Source organism: Homo sapiens, chromosome 8 (genome assembly GCF_000001405.40).
Source record: "Homo sapiens chromosome 8, GRCh38.p14 Primary Assembly".
Taxonomy (NCBI): domain Eukaryota; kingdom Metazoa; phylum Chordata; class Mammalia; order Primates; family Hominidae; genus Homo; species Homo sapiens.
The window spans coordinates 46,807,737-46,829,418 of record NC_000008.11 but is presented as its reverse complement, the minus strand read 5'-3'; the positions used below and the strand labels follow the sequence as shown (position 1 = coordinate 46,829,418).

The 21,682-nt window shown below is 40.6% G+C and overlaps 2 long non-coding RNA genes and 3 pseudogenes across 2 annotated transcripts; 4 read left to right on the top strand and 1 right to left on the bottom strand.

Moving 5' to 3' along the window:
* On the top strand, positions 929 to 1,003 carry NMTRL-TAA6-1 (nuclear-encoded mitochondrial tRNA-Leu (TAA) 6-1; annotated as a pseudogene).
* MTND1P7 (MT-ND1 pseudogene 7) lies at positions 1,006 to 1,302 on the top strand (annotated as a pseudogene).
* On the top strand, positions 1,525 to 2,191 carry MTND2P38 (MT-ND2 pseudogene 38; annotated as a pseudogene).
* On the top strand, positions 10,323 to 18,729 carry LOC124901942 (uncharacterized). The gene is made up of 2 exons (XR_007060903.1): positions 10,323 to 10,406; positions 17,733 to 18,729. It is a non-coding gene; the product is annotated as an uncharacterized LOC124901942 (long non-coding RNA).
* Positions 10,894 to 13,256, bottom strand: LOC105375812 (uncharacterized). Its single transcript, XR_928835.1, has 3 exons — positions 13,154 to 13,256; positions 12,074 to 12,182; positions 10,894 to 11,818 (listed from the first exon to the last, which is right to left on the bottom strand). It is a non-coding gene; the product is annotated as an uncharacterized LOC105375812 (long non-coding RNA).
* Positions 18,730 to 21,682: the final 2,953 nt, after the last annotated feature.

Here is a 21,682-nt window from a genome sequence, read left to right as displayed (position 1 = left end):
ATATAAGTAACATGAAGATATTCTCCATTGCATAAGCTTATATCAGACCCCAATAATCCACTGACAGTTAACAGCCTAATATTAATAAGCAATATAATAAACACCCTATTATTTATACTGTTAATCCAACACAGGTATGCTCTAAGGAAAGATTACAAAAACTAAAAGGAACTCTGCAAGTCTTACCCTGCCTGTTTACCAAAAACATCACCTCTAGCATTACGAGTATTAGAGGCACTGCCTGCCCAGTGACATATGTTCAATGGCCGCAGTATCCTGACAGTGCAAAGGTAGAATAATCACTTGTTCCGCAAATAGGGACTTGTATGAATGGCCACATGAGTGTTCAGCTGTCTCTCACTTTTAATTAATGAAATTGACCTATCTGTGAAGAGGTGGATATAAACAAATAAGATGAGAAGACCCTATGGAGCTTTAATTCATTATTGCAAATAAAAACTCAAAAAAGCTGACAGGCTCTAGCATACTATCCCTGCATTAAAATTTTTAGTTGGGTTGACCTTGGAGCATAATTCAATCTCCGAACAACCCAAACTAAGATGGCACTAGTCTAAGCGAGTTGACACACATTGACCCAGTAATTTGATCAACAGAATAAGTTACCCTAGCGATAACAGCACAATCCTATTCTGGAGTCCATATTGACAATAGGGTTTATGACCTCGATGTTGGATCAGGGCATCCTAATGGTGTAGCCGCTATTAAGGGTTCACTTGTTCAAGGATTCAAGTCCTCCGTGATATGAGTTCAGACCAGAGTAACCCAGGTCGGTTTCTATCTATTTAACATTTCTCCTAGTATGAAAGGGTAAGAGAAATAGGGCCAACTTCATAAAGCACCCTCACTGCATAGATGATGTTATCTCAGTCTAACAACTCACCACACACCCTGCTCAAAAACAGGGTTTGTTAAGATGGCATAGCCCAGCAATTGCATAAAACTTAAGACTTTATAATTAGAAGTTCAACACCTCTTCTTAACAATATGCCTATAATTAAACTTCTACTAATTATTCCCACTCTAATCACTATAACATTCCTTACACTAATTGAACAAAAAATCTTAGGCTATATACAACTACACAAAGGACCTAACACTGTAGGTCCCTAAAGACTACTTCAACCATTCGTTGATGCAATAAAACTTCTCACCAAGGAACTGTTACGGCTCTCAACATCTACTATTACCCTTTATATTATTGCTACAACCCTTACCCTTTCTCCTCTTGTGGACTCCCCTTCCTATATGTGGACTCCCCTTCCTATACCAGATCTTCTAATTCCACACCAAACATAGGAAATATGTTCAACAAAAGAATTACTTTGATAGACTAAACAATGGAGGTTAAAATCCTCTTATTTCTAGAACTATGGGAATTGAACCTACCCCTGAGAACCCAAAATTCTCTGTGCTACTTATTACACCATGTCGTAAAGTAAGTTCAGCTAAATAAGCTATCAGACCCATACCCTGAAAAAATTGGTTATACCCTTCCCTTACTAACTAATCCATTAGCTTAACTTATTATCTCCTTTACTATTGTCACAGGAACTCTTAGCACAATGCTAGGCTCATACTGATTTCTCATCTGAACAGGACTAGGAATAAATATACTAGTTCTTACCCCAATCTTAATTAAAAAATTAATCCCCGCTCTAAAGAAGCATCCACCAAATATTTCCTTACACAAGCAACCACATCTATAATTCTCATGATAGGTATCCTTTCCACTAACCTGTCCTGCAGACAATGAACAATAATAAACACTATTAATAAATTTTCATCATTAATAATAATAACAGCCCTAGTAATAAAACTAGGAATAGCCCCTTTTCACTTCTGAATCCCAGCAAAAACCAAAGGAAGCTCTCTAATATCTGGCATACTTCTCCTCACATGACAAAAACTAGCCTGTATCTTGATTATGTTTCAAATTTTCCATCAATAAACATGAATATTCTCCTATCTATCACAATCTTATTCATTATAGTGGGTGGTTGGGGAGGACTTAATCAAAAACAACTTCATAAATTCCTAGCCTACTCCTCAATTACTCACATAGGTAGAATAATAGCAGTACTAATTTATAACCCAAATATTACCATTCTAAACCTGATTATTTACTTTTAACAACTACTGCATTTCTAATACACAACCTAAGTAAAAGCACTAAGTGATTATACAAGAAGATATGCCAAATCTCCTTGTCTTTGAGGGTGACACTATTAACTGTGAGCTGGGGGTGTGTATGAGAGTCACAATCTCACGTGTTTCCTGGGCCATTGTGTGATACTCTACAACATTTGAAGGCTTTATACAGCATTTATGACAGTTGCAAACCTCTCTGAGGCCTACATGCTTGTATGGATTCACGATCTTACATGTTGCCCTAAGCCCAGGTATAATAGTCAACATCTCTTCTGTAGGCTGAGTTCAAAACTGAGTTCCATTATTATGCCTGTCAGCTGGATCCAGAAATGAGTCACCATCCCACCTGTGGCCAGAGCCACATATGAAGGTCACAATTCCAACTTTGTACTGTATTCACTTTTTAGACTCAGTACCTTAACATTGGTCTTTGGATATGTGGGATGTTGACAACATTTGCTTTCACCTGGATATGTAATCAAGAGTCCCAATCTTAATTTTTGCTGGTCCCTGTCATGAAACCCTCTGTACCACAAAGGGGTTTATGCATCATGAGTTAGTTTTGTAAAGTTCTGTGAGTTTGGTACAAATATGCAACCCAGGACAGGACCTTACTTATTGCCCTAGGCCTAGTGATGAAAGTCAAACTATCTCCTATTGTTTGAATCCCAATATGGGTTTGACAATCATCCCTCTGAACTGAAGTAAGGTATATGTCGTAGTCCCATTTGTGGCCAAAAAATAGGCAGGAGGATAATATCACTTAGGTGCTGTGACAAGCAACATGTCACAATGCCCTCTGTAGCCAGGATATAAGAATTAGGGCCACATTAACTGGGTGCTGGACTCACCAGTATGACACTATTCCACATGTGGAAAAAACCCAGCCAAGTTATAGAGCCAAAAGGCCTATATAATAGGCCCAGGATATGTCAAAATGCCTTCTGTGGTTCTGGGACAGGCATGAGAGTCACTTTATTATGGGGATGGGCCCAGCAATATGCCGCAATTCTCTCTATATGCAGGACCCAGGCAAACAAGTAACATTATCTGGATTCTGGGCCCTGCAATAGATGAAAATTTCTGTTTGTGTGCATGGTTCAAAAAAAAAAAAGAGAGTCAAATACCTGAGTGCTGGGTTCAGCAATATGTCACAATCCCTCCCTTGTAAAGACCAGGCCAGAGAAGAGAGTCACTTCACTTAGGTCATGAACTCAGAGATATATCCCAGTGTCCCCAGTAGGGAGGGCCCAGGCAGAAAAGGAGAGTCACATCACCTAGGTGCTTCCTTAATTATATGTCACAATCTTACATGGGGGCAGAAACCAGACAGAAGAGCCACATCACCTGGGTACAGCCTCAAGTAATGTGTCACCATGACCAATGAAGACAGGTTTGAAGATAAAAAGACAATCACATCACCTGGCTGCTGAGCTCATCAATATGTAAAAATTCCCTCTCTTGGCAGGGTCCAGGACAAACAGCAGAGTCATGTCACCAATGCTTTGTACTCAGTGGTATGTCACAATTTCTTCAGTGGGCAGGATCCAGGCAGGAGAGGAAAGTCACATTATCCAGGTGCTGTATCTAGCAATATGTGACAGTGTCCCCTGTGGGCAAGGCACTGGCAGGAGAGACATATCACCTAGCCAATAGGCCTGGACATATGTGAAAATATCTCTTGTTTTCAAGACCCAGGCAGAAGAGTCACATCATCATGATTCTGACCCAGTGATATGTAACAATGCCCTTATGGAAGGGAATTTAAACCAAAAAGTCTCAAGCCTGTGGTACTAGGCAGAGGGATATGACACAATCTCCTCATCTTTAAGGGTGACACCATTAACAGCTAGGTAGTTGTGTATATTAGAGTCAAAATCTCATGTGTGCTCTGGCAATTGTATGACACTCTCTACAACATCTGAGAACTTTATACAACATGAATGAGAGTTACAAACCTCTCTGAGGCCTACATGTTTATATGGACTCACGATGTTACATATTGCTCTAAACCTAGGTATGATAGTCAACAGCTCTCCCATAGGATGGCCTCAGGAATGAGACTGCTATTACTCCTGTGAACTGGGACCAGAAATGAGTCACCATCCCATCTGTGGCCAGAATCACTTATGAAAGTCACAATTCCAACTTTGTGCTGTATTCACTTGTTAGACTCAGGAACTCAACAATGGGCATTGTAAATGTAGGATGGTAACAACTTTTACCTCATCTGGGTGTGTAGCTGAGAGGCACAATCTTAACTTTTTCCTGGGCACTGTTATGAAACTCTCTGTACCACCTAAGAAGTTTATACATTATGAGTTAGTGTTGTAAACTTCTGCGAGCTTTGCACAAATATGCAATGGAGGACCTTACCTATTGACCTAAACCTAGTGGTGACAGGCAAAATATCTCCTATTGGCTGAATCCCTAAAGAAACTTGATCATCATGCCTTTGAACTGAAGCAAGGTATATGTCATAATCCCATTTGTGGGCAAAAAACTAGGCAGAAGGTTAACATTGCTTAGGTGATTTGCCAAGCAATATGTCACAATGCCCCCTCTAGGCAGCACCTAGGAAAGAGGGTCACATTAATTGGGGGCTGGAGCCAACAATATGATACAACCACACGTGGAAGAAACCCAGCAAAGTGATGAGAGCCAAAACACATACAGAATGGGCCAAAGATATGTCAAAATACCTTCTGTGGCCCTGGCACAGGCAGGAGAGACACATCATTAGGGTGCTAGGCTGAAGAATTGCTATAATTCCCTCTTTATGCAGGACTTAGGCAGAAGAGTTACATCATCTGGGTGCTGGGCCCTGAAATACGGCATAGGTCCTGTTCGTGGGCAATGTTCAGCAACAACATGAGAGTCGTATTACCTAAATGTTGGGCTCATGAATACAATACATCACAATCATCCCATTGTAAAGGCCCAGAGAGAAGAAGAGAGTCACATCACTTAGGTCATGGGCTCAGAGAGATATGGCCCAATGTTACCAGTAGGCAGGGCTCAGGCACAAAAAGAGAGTCATATCACCTGGGTGCTTCTTTAGATATATGTCACAGTTGAATATGTGGGCAGAAACCAGGCTGAAGAAACCAGGCTGGAGACCCACCTGGTCCTGGGTACTGAGACATTCACCAGTCCCCTTTAGAAAAGGACCCAGGCAAGAGAGTTATGTCACCTATGTGCAGGTGCCGCCCTTATGTCACAATGCTCCATGTGGGCAGGGTCAAGCAGAAAGTCATATCACCTGGGTGATAGGACCAGCAAAACATTACAAAGCCTTCCTTAAAGCGTGGCCCAGGCAAAAGAATACCATCACCTTTGTGCCTGACCTAGCAACATGTCACTATTCCAGTGTGTAGGCCCCAAGCAGAAGAGCCATATTACCTACATGACAGGCCCTGTGATATGTCACAATGCCCTCTTTGGGGCATGGTCCTGGCAAAAGAGTATCATCACCTGTCTCCCTGGCCTAGGAATATGTCACTATCCTGCCCTATGTGTAGAGCCAATTTCAGAGAAAAGAGTTATGTCTTCTAAGTGATGGACACAGTGATATGTTAGAATGATGTCTGAGGGCATGGTGCAGGCAAGAATGAACATCACCTGGATGCTGGATCCAGTGATGTCACAATTCTTCCTGAGAGCAGGGCCCAAGCAGAAGAGACACATCACTTCAAGGTTGGACCAGGTAGATATCAAAATCCCATATGTAGGCTGGAAATGGTCTGAAGAATGAAATCACACAAGTGCTTGGCAAAGATTTATATCACAATTGAGAGAATAAAATTGTAGGGATTAGATTTATGATACCACACATGTCCTGTTTTCATGTAGGACAGTTGCCTTCATCCATCTGTGATGGTGAAAGTCCTTACAGTCGACTGGCTGTGCATACAAGACTCACAGTTTCTTCTGTGTGCTAGGCCCTGTTATAACACTCTCTGTAAAACTGAAGGTTGTTATAAAATATGTGTGAGTGTTGTAATCTTCTGTGACCTTTGCACCTTTGCACCTTTGCACCAGAAGGAGATCCTGGACATCACTCATGTCCCTAAACCTAGTTATAAGAGTCAACATTTCTCCTATTGTCTGGGTCCACATATGAGAGTCATTATCATGCCTATTAGCTGTGCCTAGGTATATGTCACCCTCCTCTCTGTGATTATGAAACAGGCAGGACAACCACATGACCTAAATCCTAAGCCAGTAATAGTACAATATTCTCTTTGTAGGCAGGGCCCTAACAGAAAAGTCACAAAATTTGGGTGCTAGACCCAGCTCTATGGCATAATGCTCCCTGTGGAGAGTGTCCAGGCAGGAGAGGAGAGTCATATCACCTAAATGATGGGCCCAGGGATATGCCACATTGCCTCCTGTTGAAAGGGCCCAGGCAAGAGAGTCATGTCAATTGGATGCTGTGTTTAGAAATGCTACACTCTTCACTGGAAGCAGGGTTCAGGCAGGAGAGGAGAGTCACATAACCTAGAGGATGTGTCCAGAGAGATGTTACTACCCCTTCTGAGGACACTGTTAAGACACGAGAGTCGAATCACCAAGTCTCTTCGCCCAGGTATATGTCTAAATTTCTTCTGTGGGCTATAACTAGGTAGGATTATTAAATCACTCAGGAGCTTGGCAAAGGTATATTTGACAATAACACCTGTGGAAAGGTTCAGGGATGAGAGTTACCATCCCGTGTATTTCATGGCTCCAGGTACAAGAGTCGTTATTAGGCCTTTGATCTGGCCTCAGGTATATGCATAATATCATATGTAGGCAAGGAGAAGAAAGGAGTCACATCACCTGAGTGGGTGCTGGTCCAGTGAAATGTCACAATCCTCCTTGTGGGCAGGACTCTGGTGAAGAGTCACATCACTTGGGTGCTGGTTTTAGTGATATATCTAAATCTTCCCCGTGGGCAGGGCTTAGGCAGGAAAGGAGACAAACTTCACCTAGGCAATTGGCCTGGATATATGTCACAATGGCCCCTGTGTGCAGGACCAAGGCAGGAGGGTGACCTTACCTTGGGTACAGCAATATGTCACAATCTCTCTGGTTGTCAGGGCCCAGGCAAGACAGAAGAAACATCAGCTAGGTGCTGAGCCAAGTGATATGTTACAAAGCTTCCTATTGGCAGAACCACCCCCACCTCAAAAAAAAAAAAAAGAATCACATCACCTGTGTACACTATCCATTTATGTGTCACAATGCAACATAAGTGCAGGGCCAAGGCAGTAGAAGGAAGTGACATTACTTATATGATGGAGCTAAAAAAAAGCCACAATGCACTTTATAGGAAGGGATCAGGCCAAGATTTCCCATCAGCTGGGTGCTGGTATCAGTGATAATAAACAATGCCCTTTGTCAGATTGCCAAAGAAGGTGTTATACATTGCTTAGGTGCTCGCTGCATGTATGTCACAATTTCAACAGTGTTCTGGGCCTAAAAAGAAGAGTGAAAACACTCAGATGTTGGGCAAAGTCATACTTCTCAATCACACACTTGAAAATGTTCAGAAATAAGTTTCACAGTCTCACACAAGTCCTGGCTTTGGGTATGGGAGTTAATGCCTCCTAAGAGTTGGGTCGAAGTACAGGAGTCACAGTCTCAGCAAAGGGCAAGATCCACATATAAGAGTCCCAATCCCACTTGAAGATTTTTCCAGTAGAAGAGTCAAAGCCCCACAGGACTGCTGAATCGTGGTTCAAACATCACCAAACCACCTGTGGCCTAGATTCATGTATGACAATAACAGTTTCAAGCTTCTTCAACTGCTTATGTGTGTGAGATTTAGTATCTCATTTGTAGGCTCTGTTCATGTGTGAGAATGACAATTGTGTCAGCTGGGTGTGGTTCCAAGAGTCACAATAGCACCTGGTTGCTGGTGCCTATTATGACACTCTTTTTACCACTCAGGCTTTATATAACATGCCTGAGTAGTATACTTTTCTGTGAATTCTTACAGGTGGGAGATCTGTACTTTACTCACTGCCAAAGGACTGGCTATGAGAGTCAAAATATATCCCCTGGCTGGGTCTAGGTATGAGAGTTATTATTGTGCATATGAGCTGTATCCAGGTATATGTCACAAATTCACCTTTGGACAGAGACAAGGCAGAAGAGTCACATCACGCTGGTGCTGAGCCAGGGATACATTATAATCTCCATTGTAGGCAGAACCAAGTCAGAAGAGTCATATCACCTGGGTACAGTCTCAAATAACATGTCATCATGCTCACTGCATACAGGGTTGAAAAAATAGTGGATAGTCACATTCCCTAGGTGATGGGCTCAGCAATATGTTATAATTCCCTCTCTTGGCAGAGTCTGGGACAAATAGGGGAGTCACATCACCTAGGCTTTGCACTCAGTGTTATATCACAATTTCTTCAGTGGGCAGAATCCATGCTAGAGGGGAGAGTCACATTACCCAGATGCTATATCTAGCAATATGTCACAGTGTCCCCTGTGGGCAGGGCACTGGCAGGAGAGACACATCACCTAGTTGATAGGCCCAGAGACATGTGATAATGTCTCCTGTTGGCTGGATCCAAGCAGAAGAGTCACATTATTATTATTCTAACCCAGCAATATTTCGCAATGCTCCCATGGGAAATACTTTAAACCAAAAAGTCTCAACACCGGGGTAGTAGGCCTAGTGATATGACACAATCTCCTCATCTTTTGGAGTGACACCTTTAACTGTTAGCCTTGTGTGCATATAAGAGTCACCATCTCACTTGTGTTTTGGGTCATCGTATGGCACACTCTACAACATTCAAAGGCTTTATGCAACATGAATGAGACTTGCAAAAATCTCTGAGGCCTACATGCTTGTATTGACACACAATCTTACATATTGCCCTAAACCCAGTTATGATAGACAATCTCTCTCTTATAGGCTGGATTCAGACAAGAGATCCATTATTATGCCTGAGATCTGGGTCCAGAAATGAGTCACTATCTCACCTGTAGCAAGATCCATATATGAAATTCACAATTCCATCTTTGTACTTTATTTGCTTGTTAGACTCAGGACTTCTACAGTGGGCTTTGTAAATGTGGGATGGTGACAACTTTTGCTGTCGCCTGCATGTGTAATCAAGAGTCTCGATCTTAACCTCTTGCTGGGCCCTGTTGTGAAACTCTGTACCATCCAAAGAGTATATAGAATATGAGTTAGTGTTGTAACCTTCTGTGAGCTTTGTACAAATATGTAACTGATAACCTTATTTATTGCCCTAAGCATAATGATGAGAGGCAAATTATCTACTATTGGTAGTACCCAAATTTAAGTTTAATGATCATTCCCATGAACTGAAGCAATGTACATTTCATAATACCGTTTGTAGGAAAGAAACTTGGCAGGAGGATAGCACAACTTAGGTGCTGTGCCAAGCAATATGTCACAATGCCCTCTCTAGGAAGGATCTAGAAATCAGGGCTGCATTACCTGGGTGCTGGACCCAGCAATATGACACAATCCCAAATGTGGAAAAAAAAAAAAACCAGAAAAATGATGAGAGCCAAAACACCTACAGAATAGGTCCAAAATATGTAAAAATACTTTCTGTTCCTCTGGTACAGGCAGGAGAGTTACACCATCAGGGTGGGAAGCCTAGCAATATGCCATAATTATCTTTATGCAGGACCCAGGCAGAAGAGGAACATCATCTGGGTGCTGGGCCCTGCAATACATCAAAATTACTTTTCATGGGCATGGTTCAGGAAAAAAAGTAGAGTCATATTACCTAAGTATTGGGCTTAGCAATATGCCATGTCACCCTGTTGTAAAGGTTCTGGCAGAAGAAAAGTGTCACATCACTTAGGACACAACCTCAGATATCTGGCCCAATGTCCCAAATAGGCAGGAGTCAGGCAGAAGAGAAGACTCGCATCACCTAGGTGATTCCCTAGCTACATGACACAACCTAATATGTGGGGTGAAAGCAGGCAGAAGAGCCACATCACCTTGATGCTGGGTTTTGAAGTATGTCACAAGGCTCCCTTAGGACAGGAACCAGGCAAGAGAGTTACAACAAATAGATGCAGGTTCTACTCTTATGTCACAATGCTCCATGTGGGCAGGGCCCAAGCAGGGAGTCACATCACCTAGGTGATAGACCCAGAGATATGTCACAATGTGCTCCTTGAGGCATGGCCCTACTGAAAGACTACCATCATCTGTGTGCCTAGACTAGCAATATGTCACTATCCAGGTAAGCAGGACCCAAGCCGGACAGCAACATCACCTTGGTGATAAGCTCAGTGATATGTCATAGTACCCTCTTTAGGACATGTCCCTAGCAAAAGAGTAGCATCACCTGTGTGCCTGGCCCAGCAATATGTCATTATCCCCCACAGTGTTCAGGGCCCATTCTAATGAGGAGAGTTATGTCACCTAAGTGGTGGACACAGTGATATGTCACAGTGATATCTGTGGGCATGGCTCAGGCAAAAATGTAACATGATCTGGGTGCTGGATCTAGTGATATGTTATGATTGTTACTGACAGCAGGGCCCAGGCAGGAGAGTCACATCACCTCGAGGTTGGTCCAGGTAGATATCACAATAACATATGCCGGATCTAACCAGTCTGGAGAGTCAAATCACGCAGGTGCTTGGCAAAGATATATATCACAATCACACTGGCAGAAAATTCCCAGGATGAGATGTACAATACCATGCATGTCCTGTTTTCATGAGTGACAGTTGGCTTCATATATGTGAGACAATCACAGTCCTTACTGTCAGCTAGGTGTGCATTTTAGACTCAAAATTTTACCTTTCTGCTGGGTTCTGTTATGACACTCTCTGTACAAACCAAGGGCTTTATAAAATATCTGAGGCTATCAAAATCTTCTTTGCCTTTTTTTTTTTACCAGAAAGAGATTTAATCACTAGTGTTTCTAAAGCAAGTTATGAGAGTAAAAATTACTCCTGTTTGTGGAGTCCACATATGAGAGTCATTATCATGCCTGTGAACTGTTCCTAGGCATATGTCACAATTTACTCTGTAGTAATGAAACAGGCATGACAGCCAAGTCACCTAAATGCTGAGCCAGAAATTTTCCAATATTATCCTTTTAGATATTTTCCTGGCAGAAAAGTTGCATAACTTGGGGTTACACCTAGATGTATGGCACCGTGCCCCTTGTGGGCAGTGTCCAGGCAGAAGAGGAGACTCATATCACCTAAATGATATGCACAGAGATATGTCACGATGTCTTCTGTTAGCCTGAAATGACCAGGCAAGAGAGTCATATCTTTTGGATAAAGTGCTTAGAAATGTTACAATCCCCAGTGGAAGCAGGGTCCAGGCAGGAGAGGAGAGTCAGGCAACTAGATGATGGGTCCAGATACATGTTACAATCCTTCCTGAGGATATTGTTAAGACAGGAGAGTCAAATCACCAAGGCGCTCAGCTGAGGCAAATGTCCAAATCTCATTTGTGGGCTACACCTGGGCCGGATTATTAAATCACTCAGGAGCTGGGTGAAGGTATAGGTCACAAAAACACTGGTGGAAGGTTCCAGGAATTGGAGTCACCATCTTGCATATGACTTGGCTCCAGGTTTAAGAGTCATGATTAGTCCTCTTATCTGGTCTCAGGTATATGGCACAATATCACCTGTGGGCAGAGAGCAAGCAGGAAGATCACATCACCTGGGTGGGTGTTTGTCCAGTAAGATGTCACAATCTTTCTTGTGGGCAGGACCCTGGAAGAAGAGTCACAGCACCTGGATGCTGGTTTTAGTGATTTATCAAAATCCCCCTGTGGGCAGGGCTTAGGAAGTTAAGGAGACTCATTTCACCTGGGCAATTGGCCTAGATGTATGTCACAATGGCCACTATGTCCAAAACCAAGGTATGAAAGGGACCTCACCTTGGAGCTGGGTTTAACAATATGTCACAATCTCCCCTGTGGTCAGGGCAAGGTAGGAGAGGAGAAACATCTCCAAGATGCTGAGTCAAATGATATGTTACAAAACTTCCTGTTGGCAGAACACAAAATGGACAGTCACATCACCTGGGTGCAGTACCCAGTTATGTGTCATAATGAACTATAAGTGCAGGAGCAAGGCAGTAGAAGGGAGTCACATCACTTACATGATGGACCTAGGTATAAGCCACAGTGCCTTTACTAGTCAGGGATCAGGCAAAGAATTCATATCACTTGGGTGCTGGTGCCAGTCACATGTAAAAGTGCCCTTTGTGGGCAGGCCCAGGCATTTTTACTTAGGTGTATGGTCCATGTATGTCACAATGTCATCTGTGGTCATGTCCTAAAAAGGAGAGTCAAATCACTGAAGAGGTGTGCTCACTTTTATGTCCTAATCACACAGAAGTAAATATTCCGAAGTAAGTTCCACAGTCCCACACAAGTCCTGGTTTCGTGAATGTGGGTCAACACCTCCTGTGAGTTGGGTTGAAGCAGAGGAGTCACAATCTCAACAATGGGCTAAATCAATGTATAAGATGCCCAATCCCACTTGAAGATTGTGTTCCAGTGGGGGAGTCACAGCCTCACAGGTGTGCTGAATCATGCTTCACCAAACCACCTGTGGGTCAGATCTGTGTATGAGAGGAACAATTTCAACCTTCATTTGCTCTTTTGTGTGAGATTTACTGCCTTATTTGTAGGTCCTGTTACTGTGAGAGAATGACATTAGGGTCAGCTGGGTGTGCACCCAAGAGTCAATCGCACCTGGTTGCTGTTCCCTGTTATGACACTCTTTGTACCACTCAGGTTTTATATTACATTCCTGAGTGTCATAATCCTCTGTGAACTTTATACAATTAGGAGACCCATTACTTTACTTATGGCCATGAGGCTGGCATCATGAGTCAAAATATCTCTCCTTTCTGGGTCCAGGTATTATGGTTATGTTCATGCATGTGAGCTGAACTCAGGTATGTCACAAATTCACCTGTGGGGAGAAACAAGGCAGGAGAGTCTCATCACCTGGATTCTGAATTCGGGATGTATTATAATCTCCTTCGCAGGCAGGGCCAGGTCAGAAGAGTCACATCACCTTGGTATAGCCTCAAGAAACATGGTGCCATGTCTTCTGTAGACAGGGTTGAAGAAAAAGAGGAGAGTCACACAACCTAGGTACTAGGGTACTAGGCCCAGTGATATGACACAATCTTCTCATCATTGAGGGTGACACTTTTAATTGTTAGCTTGGTGTGCATATAAGTCACAATGTGATATGTGTGCTTGGCCATCGTATGACACCCTCTACAACATCTGAGGGCTTTATACAGCATGCATGAGAGTTGCAAACTACTCTGAGGTCCACATGCTCATATGGACTCACAACCTTATATATTGCCTTAATCCCAGGTATAATAGTCAACATCTCTCATTTATGCTGAGTTCAAGAATGTACCCATTTTTATACCTGTGAGCTGGGTCCAAAAATGAGTCACGATCGCACCTGTAGTCAGATCCACATGTGAGAGTCACGATTCCATCATTGTACTCTTTTCACTTGTTAGACCTAGTACCTCAACAGTGGGCTTTGTAAATATGGGATGGTGACAGCTTTTACTTTCACCTGGGTGTGTAATTGAGAGTGACAATCTTAACTTTGTACTGGGCCTTGTTATGAAGCTCTCTCAGGGAGTTTATACAATATGAGTTAGTGTTATAAACTTCTGTGAACTTTCTATAAATATGCAACCCAGGATTTTACCTATTAACTTAAGCCTAGCAATGAGAGGCAAAATATCCTCCATTGGCTGAATCCCAATATAAGTTTGACCATCATACCTGTGAACTGAAGGAAGGTATATGTCATAATCCCATTTTTGGGCAAAAAACTAGGAAAAAGTAACATCACTTAGGTGATGTGGCAAACATGTCACAATGCCCTCTCTAGGCAGAATCTAGGAAGGAGTGTCACATTCACTGGGTGCTGGACCCAGCAATATGACACAATTTCACATGTGGAAAAACTTAGCCAAGGGAGGAGAACAAAAAACACCTACAGAATAAGCTGAAGATATGTCAAAATACTCTCTGTGGCTGTGCCACAGGCAGGACCATAGCATCATCAGTGTGCTGGGCCTACCAGTATGCAATAATCCCCTCTTTATTCAGGACTCTAGCAGAAGAGTAACATCATCTGGGTGCAATAGGTCAACATTTCCCTTTGTGGGCATGGTTCAGAAAAAAGATTGGAGTCACATTACCTAAATGCTGGGCTCAGCAGTATGTCACAATCCCACCATTTTAAAGGCCCAGGCAGGGGAAGAGAGTCATATCACTTAGGTCACGGGCTCAGAGATATGTCCCAATATCCCCAGTAGGCAGGACTCTGGCAGAAAAGGAGAGTCACATCACCTAGGTGCTTCCTTAGTTATACATCACAATCTAACACATGGGTAGGAACCAGATAGAAGAGCCACATCACCTGGGTGATGGGTCCTGAGCTATGTTGCAAGGCTCACTTAGGACAGAACCAAGGCAAAAGAGTTATATCACCTTTGTGCAGGTTTAACTTTTATGTCACAATACTCTATGTGGGTGAGGCCCAAGCATTGAGTCATATCACCTAGGAGATAGGTCCAGTGATATGTCACAATCCTTACTGAGGGACGGGCCCAGGCAGGAGAATCACATCATCTAGAGGCAGGCCCATGTAGCGATCACAATCCCATATATGGGCTGGAGAGTCAAATCCCATAGATGCTTGGCAAATATTTATATCACAATCACATTGGCAGAATATTCCAGAGATGAGATTTACAATACCACACATGTCCTGATTTCATGAGTGACAGCTTCATATATGTGAGATGTGACAGCACTTACTGTCTGCTGGGTGTGCATATGAGACTCACAATTTCACTTTTCTGCTGGGTTCTGTTATTACACCCTCTGTACAAGCCAAAGGCTTTATAAAATATCTGAGGCTGTTTTAATCTTCTGTGACCTTTTTATCAGAAAGAGATCTAAGATATCACTTGTGTTTCTAAAGCAAGTTACAAGAGTCAAAATTACTCCTATTTGTGGGGTCCACATATGAGAGTCATTATCATGCCTGTGAGCTGTGCCTAGGTATACGTCAAAATTTACTTTGTGGTAATGAAACAGGCATGACAGCCACATAACCTAAGTGCTGAGGCAGAAATGTTCCAATATTCTCCTTGTAGGCAAGTTCCTGGCAGAAAAGTCGCATAACTTCAGGGCTATGCCCAACTGTATGGCACAATGCCCCTTGTAGGAAGTGTCCAGGCAGAAGAGGAGAGTCATATCACCTAAATAATAGGCACAGAGATATGTCACAATGCCTCCTGATGAAAGGGCCAGTCACATATCATTTCTGATTATAGTCATTTTAACTGAAGTGGTTTGGTATCTTACTGTGGCTTTGATTTGCATTTTTCTAATAATTAATGTTGAAAAAAATGTAAAAAATGTATATTCTGTTGATTTGGGGTGGAGAGTTCTGTAGATGTCTATTAGGTCCGCCTGGTGCAGAGCTGAGTTCAATTCCTGGGTATCCTTGTTAACTTTCTGTCTCGTTGATCTGTTTCATGTTGACAGTAGGGTGTTAAAGTCTCCCATTATTATTGTGTGGGAGTCTAAGTCTCTTTGTAGGTCACTCAGGACTTGCTTTATGAATCTGGGTGCTCCTGTATTAGGTGCATATATATTTAGGATAGTTAGCTCTTCTTGTTGAATTGATCCCTTTAGCATTATGTAATGGCCTTCTTTGTCTCTTTTGATCTTTATTGGTTTAAAATCTGTGTTATCAGAGACTAGGATTGCAACCCCAGCTTTTTTTTGCTTTCCATTTGCTTGGTAGATCTTCCTCCATCCTTTTATTTTGAGCCTATATGTGTCTCTGTACGTGAGATGGGTTTCCTGAATACAGCACACTAATGGGTCTTGACTCTTTATCCAATTTGCCAGTCTGTGTCTTTTAATTGGAGCATTTAGTCCATTTACTTTTAAAGTTAATATTGTTATGTGTGAATTTGATCCTGTCATTATGATGTTAGCTGGTTATTTTGCTCATTAGTTGATGCAGTTTCTTCCTAGCCTCAATGGTCTTTGCAATTTGGCATGATTTTGCAGTGGCTGGTACCGGTTGTTCCTTTCCATGTTTAGTGCTTTCTTCAGGAGCTCTTTTAAGGCAGGCCTGGTGGTGACAAAATCTCTCAGCATTTGCTTGTCTGTAAAGTATTTTATTTCTCCTTCACTTATGAAGCTTAGTTTGGCTGGATATGAAATTCCGGGTTGAAAATTCTTTTCTTCAATGTTGAGCATCTTTGCATGTACTTGGCCATTTGTATGTCTTCTTAGGAGAAATGTCATTTAAGGTCTCTTGCCTATTACTAAATTGTGTGTTATTTTTGCTGTTAAATTTGTTATATATTTTGTATGTTTATCCATTGTCATATGTATATTTTGCAAATATATTTGCCCACACTGTAGGTTGTCTTTTCACTCTGTTAATTTATTTTTGCTATGTAAATTTTTTTCAGATTCTGGTAATTTCACTTGTCTCCTTTTGCTTTTGTTGCCTGTGCTTTTGAGGTCTTATTAAAATTTTTTTTCTGTCCTATTTGGTAAAGAATTTATGTTTTATTCAAATAGTTTTATAAATTTGAGTTTTACATTTAAATCTTCTATTTATTTTTAATTAAGTTGTTTTAATATGGTAACAGTGAGGCACTTAGTTGTATTCATTTAAATAATCAATTTTCCTAGCACAATTCATTGAAAAGATTGACTTTTCTTAAATGTGTGTTTCAAATAACTTAAAAATTACTTGGCTCTAGGTTTATAAATTTATTACTGGGATCACTGGATACTTTGGTCCATGTGTCCATTTTCTATGCCAGTATCATGCTCTTTTGCTTGCTATAGCTTTGCAGTATATTTTGAAGTCAGGTAGTTTGATGCTTTCAACTTTGTTCTTTTTCCGCAAGCTTACTTTGGCTATTTGGGGAGTTTTTTTTTTTTTTGTTCCCTATAAATTTTAGGCCTGTTTTTTCCATTTCTGTGAAAAAAATGTCATTAGTATTTTTAAAGAATTTGTATTGAATCTGTAGATTACCTTGAGTAGCATAGCTATTTTAACAATGTTTTTTATAACTCATGAGCAAAAAATATCTCTCAAATTTTTCATGTTTTAGTTTCTTCATCAGTTTTTTTTTTTTGAGATGGAGTCTCGCTCTGTTGCCCAGGCTGGAGTGCAGTGGAGCTATCTCAGCTCACTGCAAGCTCTGCCTCCTCGGTTCAAGCAATTCTCTGTCTCAGCCTCCCATGTAACTGGGACTACAGGAACCTGCCACCACGCCTGGCTAATTTTTTTGTATTTTTAGTAGAGGCGGGGTTTCACCACGTTAGCCAGGATGGTCTCGATCTCCTGACCTCATGATCCATGCCTTGGCCTCCCAAAGTGCTGAGATTATAGGCGTGAGCCACTGTGCCTGGACCTTCATCAGTTTTATAACTTATAGTGTAGACTGTGTTTATCTTTTTAATTAAGTTAACTACTAAACTCCTTTATTTTTTATTCTAGATGCAGAAAAAGTATTTGGAAAAATTTAACATGCCTTTGTGATTAAAACAACTGAACAAATTACGTATAGAAGGTCTGTGTCTCAACACAGTTAAGGCAAAATATGACAAATCAATAGCTGATATCACACTGAACAAGAAAAGAAGAAAGCTTTTTATTTAAGACCTGGAACAAGACAATGATGTCTGCTTTTACTTTTATTTAACAGAGTACTGGAAGTCCCAGCCAGATTATTTATGCAAGAGAAAGAAATAAAAGACATCCAAATAAAAAAGGAGAAATTCCAATTGTCTTTGCAGATCACATAATTGTCTTTATAGTAAAACTTAAATACTACACTAAAAATGGAGAACTAATAAAGAAATTCAGTAAAGTGGCAGAATATGAAATTAACATAAAAAATTAGTAGGAGCACTTTTACATGCCAAGAACAAGCCACCTGAAAAAGAAATTCAAGAAAAAAATTATTTACAACAACTATAAATAATAAATCTTACTTCATTTTAAGTTCATGCTTGTGGTAAGGTTCAGCTTTATTTTTTATCATTTGGATATTCAGTATTCTCCAACCCGTTTGTTAAAGAGACTGTTCTTTTCTCATTTTGAGTGATAGAGACAGGAGATAGCCAAAGGACCTTTTCCCACTTTGAGTGTTAGAGACAAGAGACAGTCAAGGGTCCTGGGCGAAACTCCTCTTTTAAGCCTAAAGCAGCCTGAAGGCTGAAAAATTGGACTCCCGGTTTAGGATGAAGCCAGCCCTTTCCTGACTGTTTCTCTCTGAATAACGCCCACCTGTGCACTGGGAAAAGGAGGTGGAGCCATGGAAATTCACACCTTTTGGCAGGGGAGGAGCCTGGACTATTCAGTTGCTATGTGGTTACCTGGTGTTCATCAATCTGTGAGGTGGTGGCCTGTTAACAGGAGTCTGTCTCACTTTGCTGACAGTTTTTCTTTTCTTTTTCCTTTTTGCCCAATAAACTTTACTCCTCAACCTTCAGTGTGTTCGTTAGCCTATTTGTTCCTGGTTATGTTACAAGATCCTGGTTTTAGCTGAATTAAGGAGAAAGTTCTACAACATTTTGGTGTCTAGATGTGGGGCTTGAGGAAGGGTAAGAGGTAAACTAAAAACTCTTTTTCTCTTCTGTTTGTATGCCTTTTCATCCTTGGACTTCTCCCAAGGGTAGAGGAAACTGTGCACCACCCCACTCTAACAGCCCTAAGCACATGCGGGATAGACAGGTGAATGGCGGCTCCTCACCCCCATCTCCTATGGGCTGGAAAATGGCAGGCATTTGTGGTATCTTCCCCTTCATCGGCCAAGGGACCCAGCCTCATCCAACAGCAATTAAGTTTTTCTCTCTGTTGAAGGAACCCATTTGCATAAGAATGAAAATTTTTTTCCCTGCCCTACACCTAAGCCTTATTTTTTTCCTTTACCCTGTCAGCAGTTTACTTTTAATCAAAAGGCTATTTTTTTTCTTCTTAGAAAATGTTTTGCTGGGCTAGGATCCCAACGATCACTGCTTATATTCTTTGTAGAGTTTTCACTGTGAAAGGGTATTTGTGAGGTTGGTCTGGAGCTGTGGCCAATCTGGTGTGCTTTGTATGCCATTCTCTATGGTTGTTAGGACATTTTGCTGCAGGCCTCCATCTTGTTTTATGTTTTTAGGAGCATGATCTGTAACCACGTGGCAATGTTTTGTTTTGGCCTCTGCCATTTTACAATGGTGGCCCAGGTTTAATCCTGGCTTAGGCAATAAGTCCCTTCTGATTTTATATCAGCATGTAACCTTTGAGATTTTCTGATTTTCTTTCCCTTCACAAACTGCCCTAAATTGTTTTTTCCTCTGAGCACCTGGTAAGTTAACTTTGGTAAAGTTTGAATGCCAGAAATACTGGCTGCTTGGTGCTGCTAGAGTCAGGTAATAAGGAATTTAAAAGACTTTCTTAAAGAGTGCTCAACTTAATTAAAAGTGGATACCCAAATTATAGCTATATTTAAAAGATCTTTATATTTTTCTCTTCTGGGATCTTGTTTTGCTAGGAAAAGGTTTTTTCTCAGCCAACTGATTTTTTTCCTTCATTTTGTCTTGCCACTCTAGTACATGCATGAGAGGCCAGTAATTCAATCAGGAAATTGGCAAATAATAAATCTTATGGTTACTGAGTTTTCTTCTGCCTGTCTGTAGTTATATATGTGTTATGTGTGTGATGTCTATAAAACAGAGCTCTAATAAATTGACTTAAAGAATGGTAAGAACTTGGATCAAATATTTTTTGAAGGGAAGATAAAAACTGTGTACGTGTTAGTTCACATGACTTTTAATCTTTGAGAAATAAAAACAACCTAAAAGATTATCCGCAAAACACAAATGTGATCAATAGATGAGTAGGTGGACTTAATTATGCAGGTCAGATACTAGGTTTGCTAAATGTCTTAAGGTTATAAACTATTTTTTGGTTTTTGAGAACAGCTCAACTTTGCCTCACAATTGGTAAGGCCTGAGGACACATGGAATTAACCACACCCTTAATTATGCTGAAAGGAGTCAAACCCTTGGCTGCACCTAGCACATAATTACAACAATTTACCTGGTTTCACATTAAAGTTAAAATTGCTAGAAGTTACCATTATAACATGTAATTGAAGCCACTGGAAGTAGATTTACATACAAGGTGTGCAATAACAGTAAAATGTGTTTTTAATAAATGATTATAAGAAGGGATGAAAATATAAATTTTTGCCTAGGGTCAAACAATTGTTTTGAATTAGATAAGATAAAGCTAACAGTTCAAACAAGTTGTGGAAGGATTGTTAAAATAAATCTTGCCAAAGAAATTCTGTGTGTGAACATTAATTAAATTCAGAAATCTATTATGTGGGTTTTTTGTATATTGAGCATTGAAATAAAAGCACAAGATCCTCATAAGGCACTAATCTGTTCTTTAGCAAAATTTGTAAATAATTTTAAAAGGTTTTTGCTTTCTACATTTTTAAGTCATCATTTCAGTTAAATAAGTAATTTATGGGAGTCTGGAATTTTATTTCATAATATCAAGTGTTTTAAACCCCTAACATTTAACATCCTTCTGAAAATCAAACTTCAGTTACAAAATTGTCTTTTATAACTACTGGCTGTTAGATGCTAAAGAGGGCCCCTGGAGTACCCACAAGAGAGGTAAATAGGGTTATATGACATGTTTAGTTACATGGAATTGCCAAAATGGTGTTCAATATTCTTTAGGTAATATTTTGGTGAATAATACTAATATAAGTTCCAAAATTGTATGGGATTTCTAAAATTCTAATGTCTGAAGTATAAGCTATCAACCACAATTAGGTTATTATGTTAAGTTATTGTAAACCAACAGAAATAAGCAAAATTATTTGTCAATCATGTTTCTGACTGTAACTACTCTGGACATTTTGTTATACACAGACAATTGTTGCCTTGTTTTGATTTTTTCAAAAAATGGTTTTTAATCAGGTATAAAACTTTGACAGGTGATCTCAAATGCAGGCTTCTGATAACATTGGAGCTTGTGACACTGGAATACAGGAAAAACATACAGGACTCATGAAGAGCTAAAATGTTCATGAATACCAAACAAAACAAGAGTTAACTGAATGCAGTTGACTAATAGAAATCCAAAGTAATCTTTCTGACTTTTGCTTGTAACATTACTGATCCCTGTATTGTTTACCAGAGTGAAGGAAACTTATCTTGAGATAGTGACAGCCTTTAATATGTGAGTAATGTGTACTCCTGTGAACAAAATTTGAAGAATGTATGTCTCTCTCTGCCTGGCTTCTCCAGAATTTGAAAAATAGTTGTGAGTATTCTTAACTTACGGCAATATAGCTATTTGTATCAGTGCAATAATAATCCACTTTCCTTTGCAACAGGACACAATTGGAGAAACTGGTTGTTTTACCAAGGCCTTAACTG